Consider the following 19,392-nt stretch of genomic DNA (forward strand, 5'->3'; position numbering starts at 1 on the left):
CGTGTCCTTAAATCACCCCCATCTACCTTTGTGACCTCATCATCTGCCAGTCTTTTCCCTTTCTTTCATAAGGGCAGAATATTTGTCAGTCTAGTTTCTCACTATACCCCCGGAACCTAGAATAGTGCCTGGCAGATAATAGGCACTCAAAAAAATTTTGTAAATGAGTGTTCATTGAACTTAACATTTAGAGACAATATAAATATCTACCTGAAAGACCAAGGGAACATTGGCCTGATCCACTGATGGCATTCTTGGATGAGAAGTAGGAACAGAATTTGTTTGGAAATTTGACACGTACATGTAGAATGGTATATAACGCTGATTTATGTTCGAGAGAGACTTTTTGGGGGTTTGGAGAGGATTTGGGAAATATATAATAAAGAAAGGATAAAAGGGACATAATCAATGTGAAATGTGATTTCCTTTTATTTCGGTGCATGCCCATAGTCTCAGCTGCTCAGGAGGCTGGGGCCCAGGAGTTTGAGGCTGCAGTGAATAGTTACTGACTGCACTCCAGCTAGGGCGGCATAGCAAGACCTTGCCTCTAAAAAACAAAAAAAAAACAGAAAAAAAAAGAAAGAAATAATAGGAAAAAATAATAATTTCTCCTAATATGATTATTTATTATAGAATTTTATGTCTCCTGTATATGGGTAGATTTTTTTAACATCTTATTCTAGAGTTTTTACAGAAAGCATTCACTTTATAAATACATTTGTAAATAGAAAGCTTAACTTTACTTTTTTAAAAGTCCTATTTCAAGTAGCATAGTTAAGTGAACAAACAACACAGATTGAGCATTCCTAATCCTCAAATCCAAAATCAAAATGCTCCAAAATTTGAAGCTTTTTGAGCATAAATATGATGCTACAAGTAGAAAATTCCCCATCTGACCTCATGCGATGAGGTGCAGTTAAAGTCAAAATGCAGTCAAAACTTAGTTTCATGCACAAAATTATTTAAAATATTGTATAAAATTACATTCAGCCTATGTGTATAAAATGTATATGAAACAAATGAATTTCATATTTAGACTTGGGTCCTATCCCCAAGGTATTTCATTATGAATATGCAAATATTCCAAAATCGCAAAACATTCAAAATCTGAAACACTTCTGGTTACAAGCATTTGGGATAAGGGATACTCAAGCTGTAATAATGTGTGGAACACTGTAGGCCAGGCACTATGCTTAATGCTTTAGATATATCCTTAAAAAAATCCTCCTAACAGCTCCGTGTGATGTATTTATACTCATTTTACAGTTCGGAAAATCTAGGCTTAAAAAATTCAGTGTTTATGAATATTTTATTGGGAGATTTCTAGGAAGCATGAAAGTATGTAATTTATTCTTACAGTTCACCAAGAAAAAGAAATAGTTTTGACTAAAGGAATTAAAGAGCATAAACAAATGATACAGATTGCTTTCTTCTTTGGTTTGCAGCTAAGAAAACAGGGATCTGTCTTCCTCACTGAAGATGATGTGTTCTGAGATAAGCATAATAAGCAGATCATGATGTTCCAGACCCTTACAGATCATAAAAAGCCCACAATATAGTATTCTTTAGACAGGCTAAACATTTAGGGACACTGATAGGAAGGAATGTAAATAAGAAAGTGAAATAATTCCTATAATGTAAGGTTGATAGAAGATAATCATCAGGGTCAGAATTAAGAGGTCTTGTGGTTTAGGAAGCATAAAATTATGTAACTTATTGTTTATTTCACTCAGAAAATAAAAGTATTAATGAAAGGAATTAGAGATGAACAGATTGATACAAACTGTTCTATGGTTTACAGCTTAAAAAATAAAGGTACATTTAATGCTATGCATTTTGAGAATAATGTCTTTTATGCTTTTTCTTTTTACATATATATCTATTTGTATTTAAGGACAAAATAGATTGACATTACTAATTACTTCACTATTAATAATTAAAGTTCTGTGAAACATTTACTGAGTATATAGTTTTTCTGGGTATATATAGTTATATTAGCTGGTATGCATTATAGACCTAAAAATATTGCCTTTCAGTAAATTCCTAGTGGACACCAGTGTTTTCACATATGCTTCCTAGTCATTCAGTCATTTGTTATTTTTACCCTATCTGCAATAAAAACGAACAGAAACTTCTGAAATTACTTTAAATGTGTAGTTAAGCTTGTAAGTGAGTAAGGAATGATACTAGGGCTCAAAAACAAAGCAATCCGTTTCACTTCCATTTAGGATATAGAAAGCTGCAAGAGAACATCACTCTTATTCTAATAACAGTAGGTTATCCACAAAATCCACACAGTCATAACTTCTTGAGCACATCAGAGTTGGTCACCAGGCAGCCAAGTGAGCTGAATTCTCAAGAGTAACAAACCCCTCTTAGGATAGATGGGACACAGGAACATTGACTTGGCAGAGCATAGGAGGAAGAGGTGCCCACCACATAAAGTAGTTAGCAGTATCAGCTAAGATTTTAACACATTTTTAAAGGGTGAATGTGCACTCGCACAGTTTATGTGTTTAGGATAACTTGTAGCTTAGACACAGAGGAGCTTTGCATCCATTTGCAAGCTCTTTTCCATACGTTTCCACTGTTTGATCTGTGAGAAAGACTAGGGGACAAGGCAGGAGATTGGAGAGCATCTCCCTTGGTGATAAAGGTGTGGTGGTGATGAGCTGTTGCTGAGGGACAGGAGCCAACTCTGCCCATTTCCTGAAAACCTTCTCCTTTATGAAGCAAGAGTCTAAGCTGCAGAGGGAGAAGCAGTGAACTTTCCTGCTTTTACAGCCCAGGTGAAGTGCCATTGCTTTGATGAGTTTGGTAGGAGCAAAACCCACTTGCTTCTGGAAGAGAGGTAGAAAACCCTCACTCCTCCAGGACCATGCAAAGATCACTTACTTCTGGGAGAAAGGTGGGAGCATAAGCCTTTTGACACTAGGGGCTGGGTGTGGAAGGCAGGAGATGTTAGAACTAGGACCCTGCACTGATAAAAAGCAGAGGTCTGCCACCAGTGGGGATAGGGCAAGAAACTTGACCCTGGCAAAGGTCCCCCTCCCGCACCCCAAGATACAAAGTTATAGGACAGGAACACTGAAAAAGTTACATTCCTGAGGCCCAGGCTCAAAGACCCCCTACCTAAGATGAGGCTGCACCAAGATATCTGAGAATACTCTACATCCACCATTAGCCTAGTGTGTAGTAACAAGCAACAGTTGTCTACTACTAGAGAAGGGACAAGAGTGTGGAGAGAGACCGCCTGCTGAAAACTGAGGGTGGAGCAGGAACACTGAGGCAAACCCTTTGGCATCTGAGGCTGCACGTTAAACAAAAGGTAATAGTGGCCCACTATTGGAGGTCTGAAACCTGTTGTGCTGTGATTGCCATAGCAACAAAAAGCCTGAAACCCAGCTCAACTGCTAACTAGACTGGTTATTCAACCCCCTGGACTTAACAGCCTAGCAGAGGTGGAATGTTCATTTCTGAGCATAAATACTGTTGCCCCTATCATCACTGAATATCCAGCATTCAACATTTCAAAATCAAAAATTTCTGGGCACACAAAATAGGAAAACTTACCAAAACATAAAGCAACAACAGGTCTAGTGTCAGAGATGACCCAGATATTGGAAGTATTAGAGAATTTAAAGTAACTGTGATTTATATGGTAAAAAAAAATCCACTGAAAAAACAACATGCCTGGATGTATAGGGCATTTCAACAGAGAGAGGATCTATAAAATAATCAAATGAAGATGCTAGAAATAGGCCGGGCGTGGTGGCTCACGCCTGTAATCCCAGCACTTTGGGAGGCTGAGGTGGGCGGATCACCTGAGGTCAGGAGTTTGAGACCAGTCTGACCAACATGGAGAAACCCCATCTCTAGTAAAAATACAAAATTAGCCAGGCGTGGTGGCACATCCCCGTAATCCCAGCTACTCAGGAGGCTGAGGCAGGAGAATCGCTTGAACCCGGGAGGCGGAGGTTGCGGTGAGCCGAGATTGCACCATTGCACTCTAGCATAGGCAACAAGAGCAAAACACTGTCTCAAATGAAAAAAAAATGCTAGAAATAAAAAAGATGATATCTGAGATGACGCATTTCTTCAATGGGCTTATCAGGAGTTTGAACATGTCTGGTGAAAGAATCAGTGAACTTGAAAATAGAAACTATCCAAACTGAAACATAGAGATAGAAAAGAGTGAAAAATGAGAACATCCAATGGCTTTGAGACAGCATAAAAAGAGATCTAATATATATGCAATCGGCATCTCAGAAAGAGAAAGGAGAAATGGGAAGGAAGAATTATTTAAAGAAATACTAGCCAGGACAAAGCATAGATCTAAGAAGACCAGAGGACTCAGAGCAGGATAAATGCGTGCGAGCGCACACACACACACATACACACACACCCTCACCCCTAGACACCGCACGCGCGTGCACACACACACACACACCTCCTCACCCCTAGACACCGCACGCGCGCGCACACACACACACCCTCACCCCTAGACACCGCACGCGCGCACACACACACCCTCACCCCTAGACACCGCACGCGCGCACACACACACCCCCCTCACCTCTAGACACTGCGCGCGCGCACACACACACACTCACCCCTAGACACTGCACGCGCACACACACACACCCTCACCCCTAGACACCGCACGCGCGCACACACACACCCCCCTCACCTCTAGACACTGCGCGCGCGCACACACACACACTCACCCCTAGACACTGCACGCGCGCGCGCGCACACACCCTCACCCCTAGACACCGCACGTGCGCGCGCGCACACACACACACACACCCTCACCCCTAGATACCTCATAAACTGCTGAAAATAAAAAGGATAATCTTGGAAGTAGCCAGAGACAAAGGTGACAATTGAACAGGCTTCTGATCAGAAACTATGTAGTCTAGAGGACAAAAGAATATCATATTAAAAGTACTGAAAGTAAAAAGCAAAAATTAAAAAGTCAACTGAAATATATACCCAGTTAAAATACCTTTCCAGGATGAAGACAAAGTAGCTTTTTAGATAAACAGAAATTGAGAGAATTAATTATATCAAATCTATACCACAAGAAATGGTAAAGGAAAATCTTTTTTTTTTTTCTTTTCTTTTCTTTTTTTTTTTTTTTTGAGATGGAGTTTTGCTCTTGTTGCCCAGGCTGGAGTGCAATGGCACGATCTAGGCTCACTGCAACCTCTGCCTCCCGGGTTCAAGCGATTCTCCTGCCTCAGCTTCCCAAATAGTGGGGAACAGGTCTGCTGCCATGCCCAGCTAATTTTTATGTTTTTAGTAGAGACAGGGTTTCACCATGTTGGCCAGGTTGGTCTTGAACTCCTGACCTCGGGTGATCTGCCCCCAAAAGTGCTGGGATTACAGATGTGAGCTACCGTGCCTGGCTGTAAAGGAAATTATTTAGGTAAAAGTAATGTGATACCAGATGGAAATTGATTTACATGAATAAATGAGCACTGGAAATGGTAAAAATTAGGGTAAATGTAAAGGAAATAACAATTCTACACAAATTCTTTCAGAAAATAGAGGAGGAGGTAAGAACTTCCTGATAAACTTTCAGGCCCAGCATTACCCTGATGTATATATACTCATGAGCGTAGATGCAAACACCCAAAAAATGAGAAATCAAATCCAACAATATATCAGAAGGATAATAATACATTATGACTAGTCAGGGTTTATCTCAGGAATTCAAGATTGTTTCAAAATTTAAAAACTAGTCAGTATAAATCTTGTCAGAAACCTAAAAAAGGAACACCACCATCTAATCATCTCAGTAGATTTAGAAAAAGTATATGACAAAATCCAACAACTATTTCTGGAAAAAAAAATCTTAGCCAGGTGTGATGACACACACCTGTAATCCCAGCTATTAGGAGGCTGAGGCTGGAGAATCTCTTGAGCCCAACAGTTTTAGTCTAGTCTAGGCAAGATAGTGAGACCCTGTCTTAAAATAAAATAAGGCCTGGCATGGTGGCTCACGCCTGTAATCCTAGCACTTTCGGAGGCCGAGGCAGGTGGATCATGAAGTCAGGAGTTCGAGGCCAGCCTGGCCAACATGGTGAAACCCCATCCCTACTAAAAATACAAAAATTAGCCAGGTGTGGTGGCAGGCATCTGTAATCCCAGCTACTCAGGAAGCTGAGGCAGGAGAATTGCTTGAACCTGGGAGGCAGAGTTGCAGTGAGCCGAGATTGTGCCACTGTATTCCAGCTTGGGCAGCAGAGCGAGACTCCATCTCATAAATAAATAAATAAATAAATAACCTCACAACTCAGTAAACTAGAAATAGATGGGAGCTTCCTCTGTGAGAAACCTACATGTTCAGTTAAAGGTGAAAGACTTTTTCCTAAGATCAGGAAAAGGCCAAAAGTGTCTGCTCTTAACCACTTTTGTTTAACAGTATACTGGACATTCTAGCCAGTACAGTAAGGCAACAAAAAGAAAAAGCATTCACATTGCAGAGAAAGAAGTAAAGCTGTCTTTTTTTTTTCTCAGATAACATTATCATATGTAGGAACCTGCAAAAGAAAAATGCTGGAACTTCCAAGCGAGTATAGAAAGGTTATGGGATATAAGATCAATATACAAAAATCAGCTGTGTTTCTACAAACCAGCAACCAACAATTGGAAACTGAAGTTTTTCTTAAACTATCAAAATAGCATTAAAATAAGTGATACTTAGAGATAAATCTGGTAAATGTTACATAAGATCTATAAACTGAAAACTATAGAACATTTCTGAGAGGAAATAATGAGAGAACTAAGTGAACTGAAATATAGATCATATTCGTGGATCAGAAGACTCAATATTGTGAAGATGTCAGTTTGCCCCAGATCAATGCGTATATTTAATGCAAAATAATCAAAATTCAAGTAGGTTAGGTTTTTGTAGGAAATGACAAACTAATTCTAAGATTCGTATGAGAATGTAAAGGACCTAGAATAGCCAAAACAACTTTGAAAAATAGGAACAAAATTGGAGGACTTGCATTACCTGATTTCAAGACATAATATATAGCCACAGCAGTTAATACTGTATGATTGGTGTAAAGACAGATAAAGTAATCAATGAGACATAGAGAAAGTTTAAGAAAACTCACACCTACCCCACAAATTGTCAGTTTGTTTTTGACACGGGGCAAAGGCAATTCATTATAGAGAGGATAGACTTTTCAACAAATGATGCTCAAACAGTTTGAAAAATAAATCCATACCTTGCTCCATATGCAAAAGATAAAATAGATCATAGACCTAAATGTTAAAGACTGAAATTATTAAAACTTCTAGAGGAAACCATAAGAGAAAATTTTTGTGACCTTGGGTTAGGTAAAAGTTTCTTACATATGACTCTAGAAGCATGATCCTTAGAAGAAAAATTTGATAAATTAGATCTGTTCTTCAGAAGACACTATTAAGTGAATGAAAAGACAAGTCAGAATGGGAGAAAATATTTGTAAATCACATAGATGACAAAGGACTGTGTTCAGAATTCATAAAGAACTTCTCAAAACACAATAATAAAACAACCCAATTTTTAGAAATATGGAAAAATTTTTAAGATGCTTCACCAAAGAACATTGGCAGATGGCCAGTAAACATAAGAAAAGATGTTCAACATCATTAGTCATTAGGACAATGTGAGTAAATCTCCAATACACTTGTTAAAATATCTGTACTAAAAATAACAAAAAACAAACAAACAAAAAAACAGCAATTGACCATACGAAGTATTGTGGAAGACTGTAGAGCAACTCAAACTCCCTTACACTGTTGGTGGGAATATAAAATGGTACAACAACTTTAGAAAACAGGTTCTCAAAAATTTAAATATACATCTACTATATTACTCAGCTATTTAATTCCTAAGGATTAAGAGAAAATGAAGCATCTTTTCATATAAAGTCTTATACATGAATGTTCATTGCAGCTTTACTTGTTATAGCTAAAACTGGAAACAACCCAAATATCAGTCAACTGTTGATGGATAAGTCAATTGTGGTATAACCATTCAATGATATAATACTCTTTACATATTCTGGTTATGTGTTGAAATTTCTTCTTTGACTCTGTGGCTTCTCCTGATGTTTTAGATTTTATTTTGTAAACAACATGATTGGGTTTTATTTTTTAATCCAATCTCACACTGTATTTTAATTAGAATATTTTTCCCATTTACATTTAATGTAATTGCATAGGTCATCTTACAATTTGCTTTTTCTTTTTGCCAACTGCTCTATGTTTCTATTTCTCTTATTTATTTTATTTGAATTGATTAAGTAGTTTTATTATTTCACTTTCCCCCTCATCTATTAGCTTGGAAGTTACAGACTCTTTTACTTTTCTTGTGTTAGTGAGCTTAGACATTACAAAAAGGACATATTATCAAAGTCGAATTTCATTGGTATTTTTACCCTTTTCCTAGATAATAATATAATTATTATTTAATCCTCTTCTGACTTATATGTTACTGTTGTTAGCTATTTTATTTATATATTTCAGGTCTCCTAGATATTGTTTTATCTAACCAATATCTATTTAGATTTACCCACATAGCTATCATTTTTTATTACCTGTAGTATTTCCATTTGGAATCTTTTTTTTTTTTCTGCCTGAAGAACACCTTTTAGTATTCAGTACAAGTCTGCTGGTAACAAATTATCTTTGTTTTTGTCTGTTTGAAAATGTCTTCCACATGCATTTTAAATAGATGTTTTTATTAGCATAGGATTTTACACTGTATATCTGTAGATTTCTAGAAATATGGAGGCATATTTATGGCTTTTTGACTCTGTGGCTTATTTTCTTTGGCCAGTTTTGGAAAATTCTCAGGTATCTTTTTACATGTGCCTCTGCCTAATCTTCTCTCTCTCCTCCTTCTAAGACTCCAATTTTATGTATATTAGATCTTTTAATAGTATTTCCATGTCCTTTATCTTCTTTTCTTTCTTTTCCATCCTTTTTTCTGTTTGTGATTCATTGGTGTTTTATTCTAATACACCTTCTGTCTCACTAATTCATCTGTATCTAACCTGATTTTTATTTTGATTATTGTATTTATCTAGTCTAGAATTTCCATTTAGCTTTTTAAAATCTGCCATTTTTTATATCTTAGAGAATTCTCTGTTGAAATCCTCAATTGTATCTTTTATCCTCTTGAACCATGTATGTATCATATAGCACTAGTATCTGGAGCTCCTTTTGGCATGTTTATATTTTGTATTGTTTCTGCTTATTATCTTATCTCCTTATATATGTTGATATTATTGATTATGTGCTTGGTCTTGTATTTGACAAATTATTTGTAGAAATAGTTTGAGGCCTAGGATGATATCTTTCTCATGGAAGGAATATATTTTCTTCTGGCAGACACCTAACTGCACTAGCAATAGAGTCTTACTTAACCTGATTTCAGGTACTGGATGATTTGAAGCTGGGCTGTCCTCCCCTGCAAAGGACAGTCTATTCAGGACTGCCCTTATTCCCTACTGCAGAGGGGCTTACCAGGGACTCTGCAAGGCTGTCAGAGAAGTCACTTAGGCTCTCAGTCCCTCAAGACCCTCTTCTAGAATCAGCAAATACCCCCAGGCCCAAAGCAGGCCCCAAATTACATGCTCACTTTTCTGGATATTTGTTGTCTCTTAGATCTTGGAAGGGTAATTTTTTACTACCCTGTTAGTTTCCATAGGCCTGTATGCAGATGATTTTTATGTTTTGTTCAGCTTTAAAAATTATCCTTGCCAAGAGGGTTGATTAGAGTTACCTAGTCTGCCTTTATTGAAAGAGGAAGTTCCCTTTCCTGTTATTATTCCTTCTTGATTTAATCTTAGAATGAGATTAACCCCAACATTTCTATTTATATACCTGCATAGGTTCTCTGTGCACATATATCCCTCTACCATACCCTGTCACCATCTCCACATCCACACAGATCAACTGATTGTTTTCTAACAATACGTTAGAAGTAATCAAGAACCTAAAATTAAATATTTTGCCAAAACCCTTGTGATATATGTCCTTAATTTACACTTCTAGTTCTTAAGCTTCCTTATTTTGTTGGTATGACATTACATGTATGAAGAGAAATAATTAGATGAAGGGCAAGATAAGGGGAGATAGGAAAGCAAACATTCCCAGCATTGAGAAGGAAAGAGAAGCATGCAGATTGAATGTAGATTCAAAGAACTGAGAGAAAATCAGTGTGCCTAGAGCATAAAGCAAAAGGAGTTGCCGAGACAGTGAAAAAGCCCAAATTATGCAGATCCTTAGGTGCATTATGCAAGAGAATATTCAAATTATAGTTTTAAATGCTTTGAAATCTCATGCTGACTGTAAAGTCGAAAATGAATCAGAAGAGAGTGATGTAGGATGGAATGGAAGGGATGTAGTGGGTGAGGATCACTTGGAATCTGTTACCCTTACCTGAGCAAACCTTCAAAGTAGCTTGGACTATGGTGGAAGTAGCCTGGTTGGAGAGGTGGATGGATTAAAGAAATAGACAACAAAGCAAAACCAGGACTATATGAGCAATAAAAAACCAATAGTATCAACGATAACTCCTGAAATCCTGGTTTGTAAACCAGGTGGGTAACAGTGGCACACACTAAGATAGGAGACTAGAGAAAGCCCACATTAGGACAAGAGACTGGAGGAGGCCCAGGTGTTACAGGAAATACTGTGAGCTCAATTTTGGACTTGTTACCTTTGAGATACCTTTGAGACATCCGAAGTAGAGTTTGCAGAGAGTTGTATATACGGATGTGATACTCTGAACAGGTCTGCCAATAAAAAAGTAAAATTTATACAGATTACATTTAAAGTCGTTGGTGTGGAGGAGATTGTCTACAGAGAAAATGAAGACCAAAAGTGGAGAACTGCTATTGGAAACATAATTTTACACCAAGAAAATAAGGAAGCTTAAGAACTAGAAGTGTAAATTAAGGACATATATCACAAGGGTTTTGGCAAAATATTTAATTTTAGGTTCTTGATTACTTCTAACGTATTGTTAGAAAACAATCAGTTGATCTGTGTGGATGTGGAGATGGTGAACAGGGTATGGTAGAGGGGTATGTGTGCACAGAGAACCTATGCAGGTATATAAATAGAAATGTTGGGGTTAATCTCATTCTAAGATTAAATCAAGAAGGAATAATAACAGGAAAGGGAACTTCCTCTTTCAATAAAGGCAGACGAGGTAACTCTAATCAACTCTCTTGGCAAGGATAATTTTTAAAGCTGAACAAAACATAAAAATCATCTGCATACAGGCCTATGGAAACTAACAGGGTAGTAAAAAATTACCCTTCCAAGATCTAAGAGACAACAAATATCCAGAAAAGTGAGCATGTAATTTGGGGCCTGCTTTGGGCCTGGGGGTGTTTGCTGATTCTAGAAGAGGGTCTTGAGGGACTGAGAGCCTAAGTGACTTCTCTGACAGCCTTGCGGAGTCCCTGATAAGCCCCTCTGCAGTAGGAATAAGGGCAGTCCTGAATAGACTGTCCTTTGCAGGGGAGGACAGCCCAGCTTCAAATCATCCAGTACCTGAAATCAGGTTAAGTAAGACTCTACTGCCAGTGCAGTTAGGTGTCTGTACATTGTTAGTCCTGCTCATTGCTGGGTCTCTAGGTCTCTAGCACCTAGCAGCACAGTGCCTTGAACATAATTGAGCATTTGAGTGAGTGTATATAGTCAACAGGAATCACTGAAAGGTAGAGATCCTTATCTTTGACTTCTTTCCAGTTTCCCAGAATACGTAGTATGATGCTGGGACTTGAATGAAATTAAAATGATATTATCTTCAGAATTAGATTTTCTTTGGGCTACTTTTGAGAGAGATTAGGATAGAAGGTGAAAGTATTATGACTGACTTGGGAGAAAAAAAGCCCTGTTTCCTCTTTCTTATAGATATTTGCTAGACTTTCCATGGCTGCTTTTTTTTCTAAGAGAACTGTGTATAATTTTTGGAAAAAAATATTGAATTAATTAAATATTGCTATAGTGAATCATTCAGAAGGAATGGTTCTTTATCATTCACATCCATTAACAAGATTATTTCTTTGAAAAGCACATCCTTTCTTTGCAAAGTTTTGAATTGCTGCTTATTTACATTTTAAGCCTAAATTATGAAATTCCTGTGATTCTAATTTATTACGTTTAAAAATGACTTAGCAGAGTACTGCAGCTGGAAGGCTCAGTTGCAAAACTATGGTCTTTAAATTGATTTGTTTGTTTTGATGTTCTTATGATTTGCATGGCAGCATATTTTATTGTATATTTACAATAGTCATATGATACTTGTATTTCCTTTATGGAAAGAGTTCTTAAGGATATTTTTATGTGTACCTCCTCATGAATCTTGCTAATCACTGAAATACAGACTTAGGAATGGTAAAACATATCTCCCTTTGTTATTTCTGTTTATTGTCTTCACTTCATTTTTCCCTCTCAGATTTTGATTTTCAGTGATCTCATCTAGTCCTTTACACCCTTTATTTTAGTGGTGGAATGTGGCAATCAGGGATAGGGAAAATGATGAGGTATAATCATTAAAGGTATCTTAGAACCTGGCATATTTCAATTATTCATATTTAACCTATTTGAAAGTCTTTTATAAATATCATGATTTTATAATGAAGAGGGCTATTACACTATTATGTTAATTACTAAAACCTCCCACATTTATGATCTTTAATAGCCCAGATATTTTATATGTCCCTGATCTTCAGTGTTTTAATATAGAAGTCCCTATTATTTAATTTCAAAATAATCAATGCTATCTCTAAAAATACACAGATATTTTGTAATTTTAGAGTTCCTTTACCTTTTACTAGCACTATTCATGATAAATATATTTTTCAGTTTTATTCAATAAGATTCTTTTCAGAATTTGTGAAACTTAAACACTTGCTCTTTTGGAGTAAGCCAATGATTTATTTAATGCTTTTCTATATTGTGTATTTTAAGGAGAAATATCTTCCTGATGGATATAATACAGGCTTGTTGGAGACAGCTATTTCCCTCTCTGCAAGGAGTGTATTATGTTGTTTTACAAAATGCTTTCTTGCACCACTCATGTTAACTAAAGAGCGAATTTAAACACAGACGTGTCTACTGCACTTTCCTTCCTTGAATGGGTACAGTTTTTAAAACTTGGAAACGTGCCATTAACTCTTAATGTCTCATTTCATTTTTGAGGAATTCAAGTTGGGATGCCAGCCGTACAATAGTAATGTAAGAGGAATGGTAACTGGCTTAAGGCATGCACTTAAGCAATAGAGGAATTTACTTTTCAGTGTCTTCCAAGGTCCATGAGGATGCACACTTATTTATCCAGAGAGTATGGATCTCACATATGTTTGTCCAGAGGGTGTGACTCTGTGGAGGAGAACACTTACTGGTAAGTATTGAACTCTTATTGTATTATGTTTCAGAAAAATATGTTTAGAAAATCAGTTGATTTTTAGCAGTGATGAAATCTCTTAGTCTGTGCTGGTTTCTTAACAGTGGACAGTCCCAGATGTTGAAGTCAGCACAACAAGAGAAAAACCCAAATCCTGATAAGACTTGAGGATTTTTCGAAAATTAAATGCAAAATAGTTGGGGCAAATGTTGCTGCGGGAGTCAAGACTAAGTAATACAGTAAGAAGATATGAAGTTGGAGAGCTTCTCATGTTCTTCCTTTGTATAAAGTTTGCATACGTACAAAACCCAGGACTTTAATGACTTTAAGAGGGGGCAGAATTGCATCTCTTGGAAGTTAACAGACTCATGTGAACTGGAATGTACGTTGTGGCCCTCACAATTGATTTTAATATTTATTTGCAAAGTCCTTTCTGTTTCTAAATAAAAGCTGTGCCTTCTGAAACCTGTAAGTGATGTATACTGGCCACATCAAATCTTTTAAAAGTGTTTTCCAAACCCCAAATTGTTAGTGTGGAAGAAATGTTTCTTTTGGGAACACTAAAACAAAGGGGTATGGGAGGATTGATTTCAGAGACCACTTGCTGCTTCTGCTTTATACTTTAACATTCTTTCCCTCTTTCTCTCAGCCAAGAACTCTCATGATATGTAACTGACTTTTGGTTGAAAAAACATGTAAAATAATGTTTTTGTGTATGATACAAAAGTTTAGAATAAAACAAAAATCAGCCACTCTAATATGTGGTAGGTTTTCTGGCAATTAACCATAGCACATAGACATTTGCCACAGGAAATGCCACTGCCAGATCTCCCACACCGCCACATGAAGGCTTAGCATTGCTTTAAGTCATGCCTTAATAAATGATGAATGGAAGTGCAGAGTCCGTGAGGAAGAATTCAGTGCATAGGAGTGTTTTGGCATCTGGTAGACAATTGTTTGTTAGAGTTGCCAGTTATTAGCTTGCTGGCCTTTATCAAAGTGCTTTACTATTCTGTTTCTTCTGCTGTAGAAATCCCTGTGTTATCCCCTATTGTGATGACTGACAGTGTCCCACTGTGCTGAATCAAGAAGACTGGGTATATAGGTCCAAATCATGGTTATGGAGATGTTAGGGTAGAAGACAGCAGTATGGACATGATAGAAAGAGGATTGAGAATACATTTCTATGTGATCCATTTTTGCTTTGCCTTCTATCTAATTCTGCCAATTCCTAATCTTTAGGACTCACCTCAAAATCTCTTGAAGCCACTTTTTGGGAGATGTGCAAAATGTGTGTGAAGGGAGAGAGCATCAAGAGCAGAAAGCGTAGGTGAGAGGGTAAGAGACATTTAGTCACCCGGCAGCTGCTTACTGAATGCCTGCTGTGTGCTAGGAGGTGGGGACACATGAAGCTTGTGTCCAGTTTTGAAAGATAGGCCATAAACAAATAAATATGTTGTGTATTGGATGATGGTAATGAATAAACTGGTAAAGGGGGGTAGTGAGAACTGGGATAAGGAGGTGACTTTCAGCTCGAAGTAGGGTCATCAGGGAAGGCCTCATTGACAAGGTGGTATTTGAGTAGAGGCTTGAAAGAGGTAGGGGAGCCAGCCATATGGAAATCCAGGAAAAGTGGAACTGAGAACACATACTGTAAGTCATTAAAAGGACTTTGACATTTCCTTTGAGTGAGATGGAAGCCCATTGGAGAGTTTTGAGCAGAAAAGTGACATTATCTGACTTATTTCTTAAAATAATTCCTCAGGCTACAGTATAGAGAATGGATAGTAGAGGAACAGTGATGGAATCAGGGACTGGTTAAAGGTTTTTTGAGTAATTGAGGCTGGAGAAGATGGTGACTTGGACTAGGGTGGCAACAGGAGAGGTGATTAGTGTTCAGATTCTGGATTTGTTTTGAAGGTAGACCCTTCAGGATTTATTGGTCTTTTGACTGTGGGGAGTGAGGGAATGAGAGGAGTTAAGGATGACCCCACAGTTTTTGGGCTGAGCAGCTGGAATGGCAGAGATGACATTTACTATTTATCAGGATGAGGAAGATTACAGGAGGAGCAGGTTTTAGGGAGAGATCAGTGAAGGTGCGAGCAACTGAGATTCCAACTAGATATCCAAAGGTAACATAGACAGAAGACAGTGGATATACAATAGTAATTATTTAAACGTTCATTTTGCACAAGTTGATAAATCACAAAAGTTCTGTTTAAATGATTTAAATCTTCATGAAGATGTTGCTATAATTCACATTTTATAGATTAGGAAATAATGCAGAAGGATTAATATTCCTAAGATCACTGATATGAAACTATTTTATGACTAAGTTCCAGGTTGTTCTACTGACTTTATTATATTATAAAATAGGCATATAAGGGAAATTTTCATTATTGCCATAATTGAGCAAGTAATACTTCTTGTTGCCTTTACATTACACACACAAACACACACACTTTCTCTCTCTATCTCTCTCTCTCATAGAGAAGTACAGTAATATCTTTGAGGCTTACGTAGAAAGATAGTTTTTTTGACCCTTTGGTGTGTTGAAAACATACTATAATATAGGCTTTAATTTTGGATATGCATTTTAAAATTCTTTAAATGGTGAATGGAGATGACTATGAATATAATTAATTTTTAAAAGCATATTCTTAAGAAATTTTCTTTTGAAAACAGTTTACTTCATGGTAATTTGTGTTCTCTTCAGTTGTTTAAAGGGGAAATATTTTGCATACTCTTAAGTGTATTCTTTTTTATAGTAGAATGTATGATGTTTATTTTTTGAAACACAAATACAAATAATGGAAACACATGTGATTGTCTGAGCTTTGACATTGTTCTAGGTAGGATGACAAACTGTCACAATCCAAACAGGAAAACAGAAATTAAAACCTCTCTAAAGTTTCTACTCTGTTGCTTAAAGGTTTATGTACTGTTTATAATTTTTATTCAATAAAGCGGTGGCAAGTTACTTTATCTTATAAAATCCTAAGACACTTAAATTTTATGTAGTGTAATGAGTTAAATGATCAGGAGCAGATTAATATAGTTCTCTGAAATAAGTACATATCCTTAAAGGTCATATGTCTTAATTTTGTGGAATATGACTATTTAGTTTCTACAACCTTGGATTTTTAAAAATTATAATTTGTGATCTCTCATCTATGTAAATAGCAAACTCTTTCTGATTATACAGGAAGCCCTGCATGTTGCAGGAGTGGAAATGCAGTTAACGGCTGCGATGTCATTTCTGACCATTCTGCAGGACGAATCAGTGTCAATTCATGCATATACCCACTCATTCCTCCAAGTCATTCTCCTGCATCTGGAGCACAGGGACACAGGTCAGGGGCCTGGCATGCTTAATTATATACTTGTTTATTGTTTTTTTGTGTATGGCCATGATATTATATAAATACTGTTAGCCTGATGAGGATAACTGAGTAAGGCCATGCTGCCTAGGAGTTGAGCAGTGGAATGACTTAAAATAGCTATGGCTGTCTTATAAAACCCACAAAATTTAATATCCTTGAAAGCTGAAGATCCATTAATTCATCTTATGATTTATACTTTCTTGTTACTTTTTTTCCTTTTCTAGCAGTCATGTTTATAGTATTGTACAATAAAAGAGCAAACCTTGGTTTAAAGATATCTCACCAATACTATTTTTAAAAATATAAAAATTTTCTAGATGTTGACTGAGACAAAATAATAGAGAAACTTTTTAGAATAGTAATGAAAATAATTATTTCCATTTTATCATTAAGTGCTATTGTAACTATTAATGGCTGAGTTGAAACTGAATTTGAAGTGAGACGTTTAATTTAGTATGTTTTATCTCTGTCAACCAGGTGTCAGCAATGCATGGCTGGAAACTCTTCTGTCTGTTATAGAAGTATTGCCAAAAGAAACCCTACGGCATGAGGTAATACTTTCATGGGGGCAAATACTAATAAGTAAGTCACTCTAAGGTTTTTTTTTAAAAGGTTTCTTGTCAAAAATGGTTTTTAAAAAAGAAAGTTGTTTTTCATTTTGAATGTAACACGTGCACATTGGAGGAAATTTGAGAAATATAAAATATAGAAGGAAGAAAAAAGAATTCATAGCTCTGTACTTGTCCACTTTTAAGGTCCTGATGTATTTCCTTTCAGATTTTTTTCCTATATATGGTTGCTGCTTGGCTTGCTATATCAGTGATCATACTGAATTTATATATGGTTGTTTTTCACTTAGCATTACTTTCCTATATTTTTTAAACTCATTTGATAGTAGCTGCAGAATATTTTACTTGTGAAACATTTAAGCCTGTTTTCAGGCTTATATTTTACTATTGAATAGGACATTAATGAGCATTTCTGTAGAGCTCTTCCTGTTTTTCAGATAATTTAATTGTAGCTTTCAAACAGGAATTAATGGATCAGAGGGCATTAATATTCTTAAGCTTTTGACTAACAATATGTGAAGATGCTCTTTTCCTAGACTTTTATCAGCAATAGTGTTTCTGTTACATTTAATGGGCCAAAAATGGAATTACATTTTATTGGAATTTTTAAATTATTGTGCTGTTGAATATTTTCTCATATTTATATCAGTTTCTCTTTATTCCTTTGCAATTGTTTGATCCTATCCTTTAATCACTATTTATATGTGCTATTTACCTATTATGGTTGCCAATTCTTTGTTATATTTACAAATATTATTCCCAGCATGTTGTTTGCCTATTAATTTTCAACATTGAACAGCATACTCTTCTCTAAAGACTTTAAATAAATTACAATGACAGAAGAAGAAAAATGGAAAGAAAAGTATCCACTAATGAAAAGATTTTGTATTCTTTGAACATTATTCCTATATACATTTCTTTCCAAATATGTCATGATTGAAAAAAAGAGTCATCAGCCAATGAAATGTCCTCTACTGACTTCATTAAGTGTCTTTGTCCTTTCTTTGTCTTCATACAGTTTATGGTCCTGTCACAATGCTTAAATACTGGCTTGAAAATGGGAAGATTTTCTAGTTATAAGGATGTTTGCATACTTGATGCCAAACATCTAGATGATTATGCATATTTAAGTGCTGAATGTAATATAGACATGTGATTTTTATATTTTTTTGAAAAGCAATATGCTGTATAATGCAATTTTTACTCTAGAATACCATATTATTTAACATGTGGTTTCAAAGATTTTAGATATGTAATTTATTCTAAACTTTTCACTTCTAAATTATCAATGCATATTCAGTAATTCCAGCTACTTTGAGAGGAAACAAGCCAGTTGACTATAGAGTCATAGAATTTTAGAAATTAAAGAGATCTTAGTAGGACATATTCTTGTTTCCATTTTAAATAGATGAGAAACTGGAGATTAGAAATAGCGAGATTATGGGCTGGGCGCGGTGGCTCACACCTGTAATCCCAGCCCTGTGGGAGGCTGAGGCGGGCGGATCATGAGGTCAGGAGATTGAGACCGTCCTGGCTAACACGGTGAAACCCCGTCTCTACTAAAAATACAAAAAATTAGCTGGGCGTGGTGGCAGGCGCCTGTAGTCCCAGCTACTCGGGAGGCTGAGGCAAGAGAATGGCGTGAACCCGGGAGGTGGAGCTTGCAGTGAGCCGAGATCGCGCCACTGCACTCCAGCCTGGGCGACAGAGCGAGACTCCGTCTCAAAAAAAAAAAAAGAGAAATAGCGAGATTATTTGGACAAACTAGAGAACTGGGACTAGAATCAGAGTCTGATCTTCATAGTGTTTTATGGTCTGTCAGGCTGTTGTAGTATTTGAGTGTCCAGTATATACATAATGCAATATCAGACTTGGCTTATTGTACTCAAATGACAGAATTATTTAATAGGATTTATTTGAAGCTATAATGTTTTTCATCCCATTAGGATACATATAAAAATTAATCTATATGGAATAAAAATACATTTCAAGGTATTTAGTCATTATTTGC

The 19,392-nt window shown here is 36.4% G+C and overlaps 1 protein-coding gene across 12 annotated transcripts in view; it reads left to right on the forward strand.

The window, feature by feature from the left end:
• Positions 1 to 19,392, forward strand: part of PPP4R4 (protein phosphatase 4 regulatory subunit 4) — a 105,413-nt gene that overhangs the window by 39,631 nt on the left and 46,390 nt on the right. For 5 of the 12 annotated variants that reach the window (NR_145441.2, NM_058237.2, XM_024449672.2 and 2 more), the window contains 2 exons: positions 16,635 to 16,782; positions 17,290 to 17,363. Coding sequence is in view for 11 of the 12 variants with exons in the window: in NM_058237.2 (NP_478144.1) it covers positions 16,635 to 16,782; positions 17,290 to 17,363 (222 nt within the window). In the remaining variant the exon portion in view is untranslated. Of the gene's footprint in view, positions 1 to 13,322; positions 13,427 to 13,533; positions 13,902 to 14,671; positions 14,768 to 16,634; positions 16,783 to 17,289; positions 17,364 to 19,392 lie in introns of those variants that run through there. The other 7 variants (NM_001348144.2, XM_011537039.3, NM_001348143.2 and 4 more) reach the window with 6 other exon arrangements.

Source organism: Homo sapiens, chromosome 14, assembly GCF_000001405.40.
Source record: "Homo sapiens chromosome 14, GRCh38.p14 Primary Assembly".
Lineage (NCBI taxonomy): Eukaryota > Metazoa > Chordata > Mammalia > Primates > Hominidae > Homo > Homo sapiens.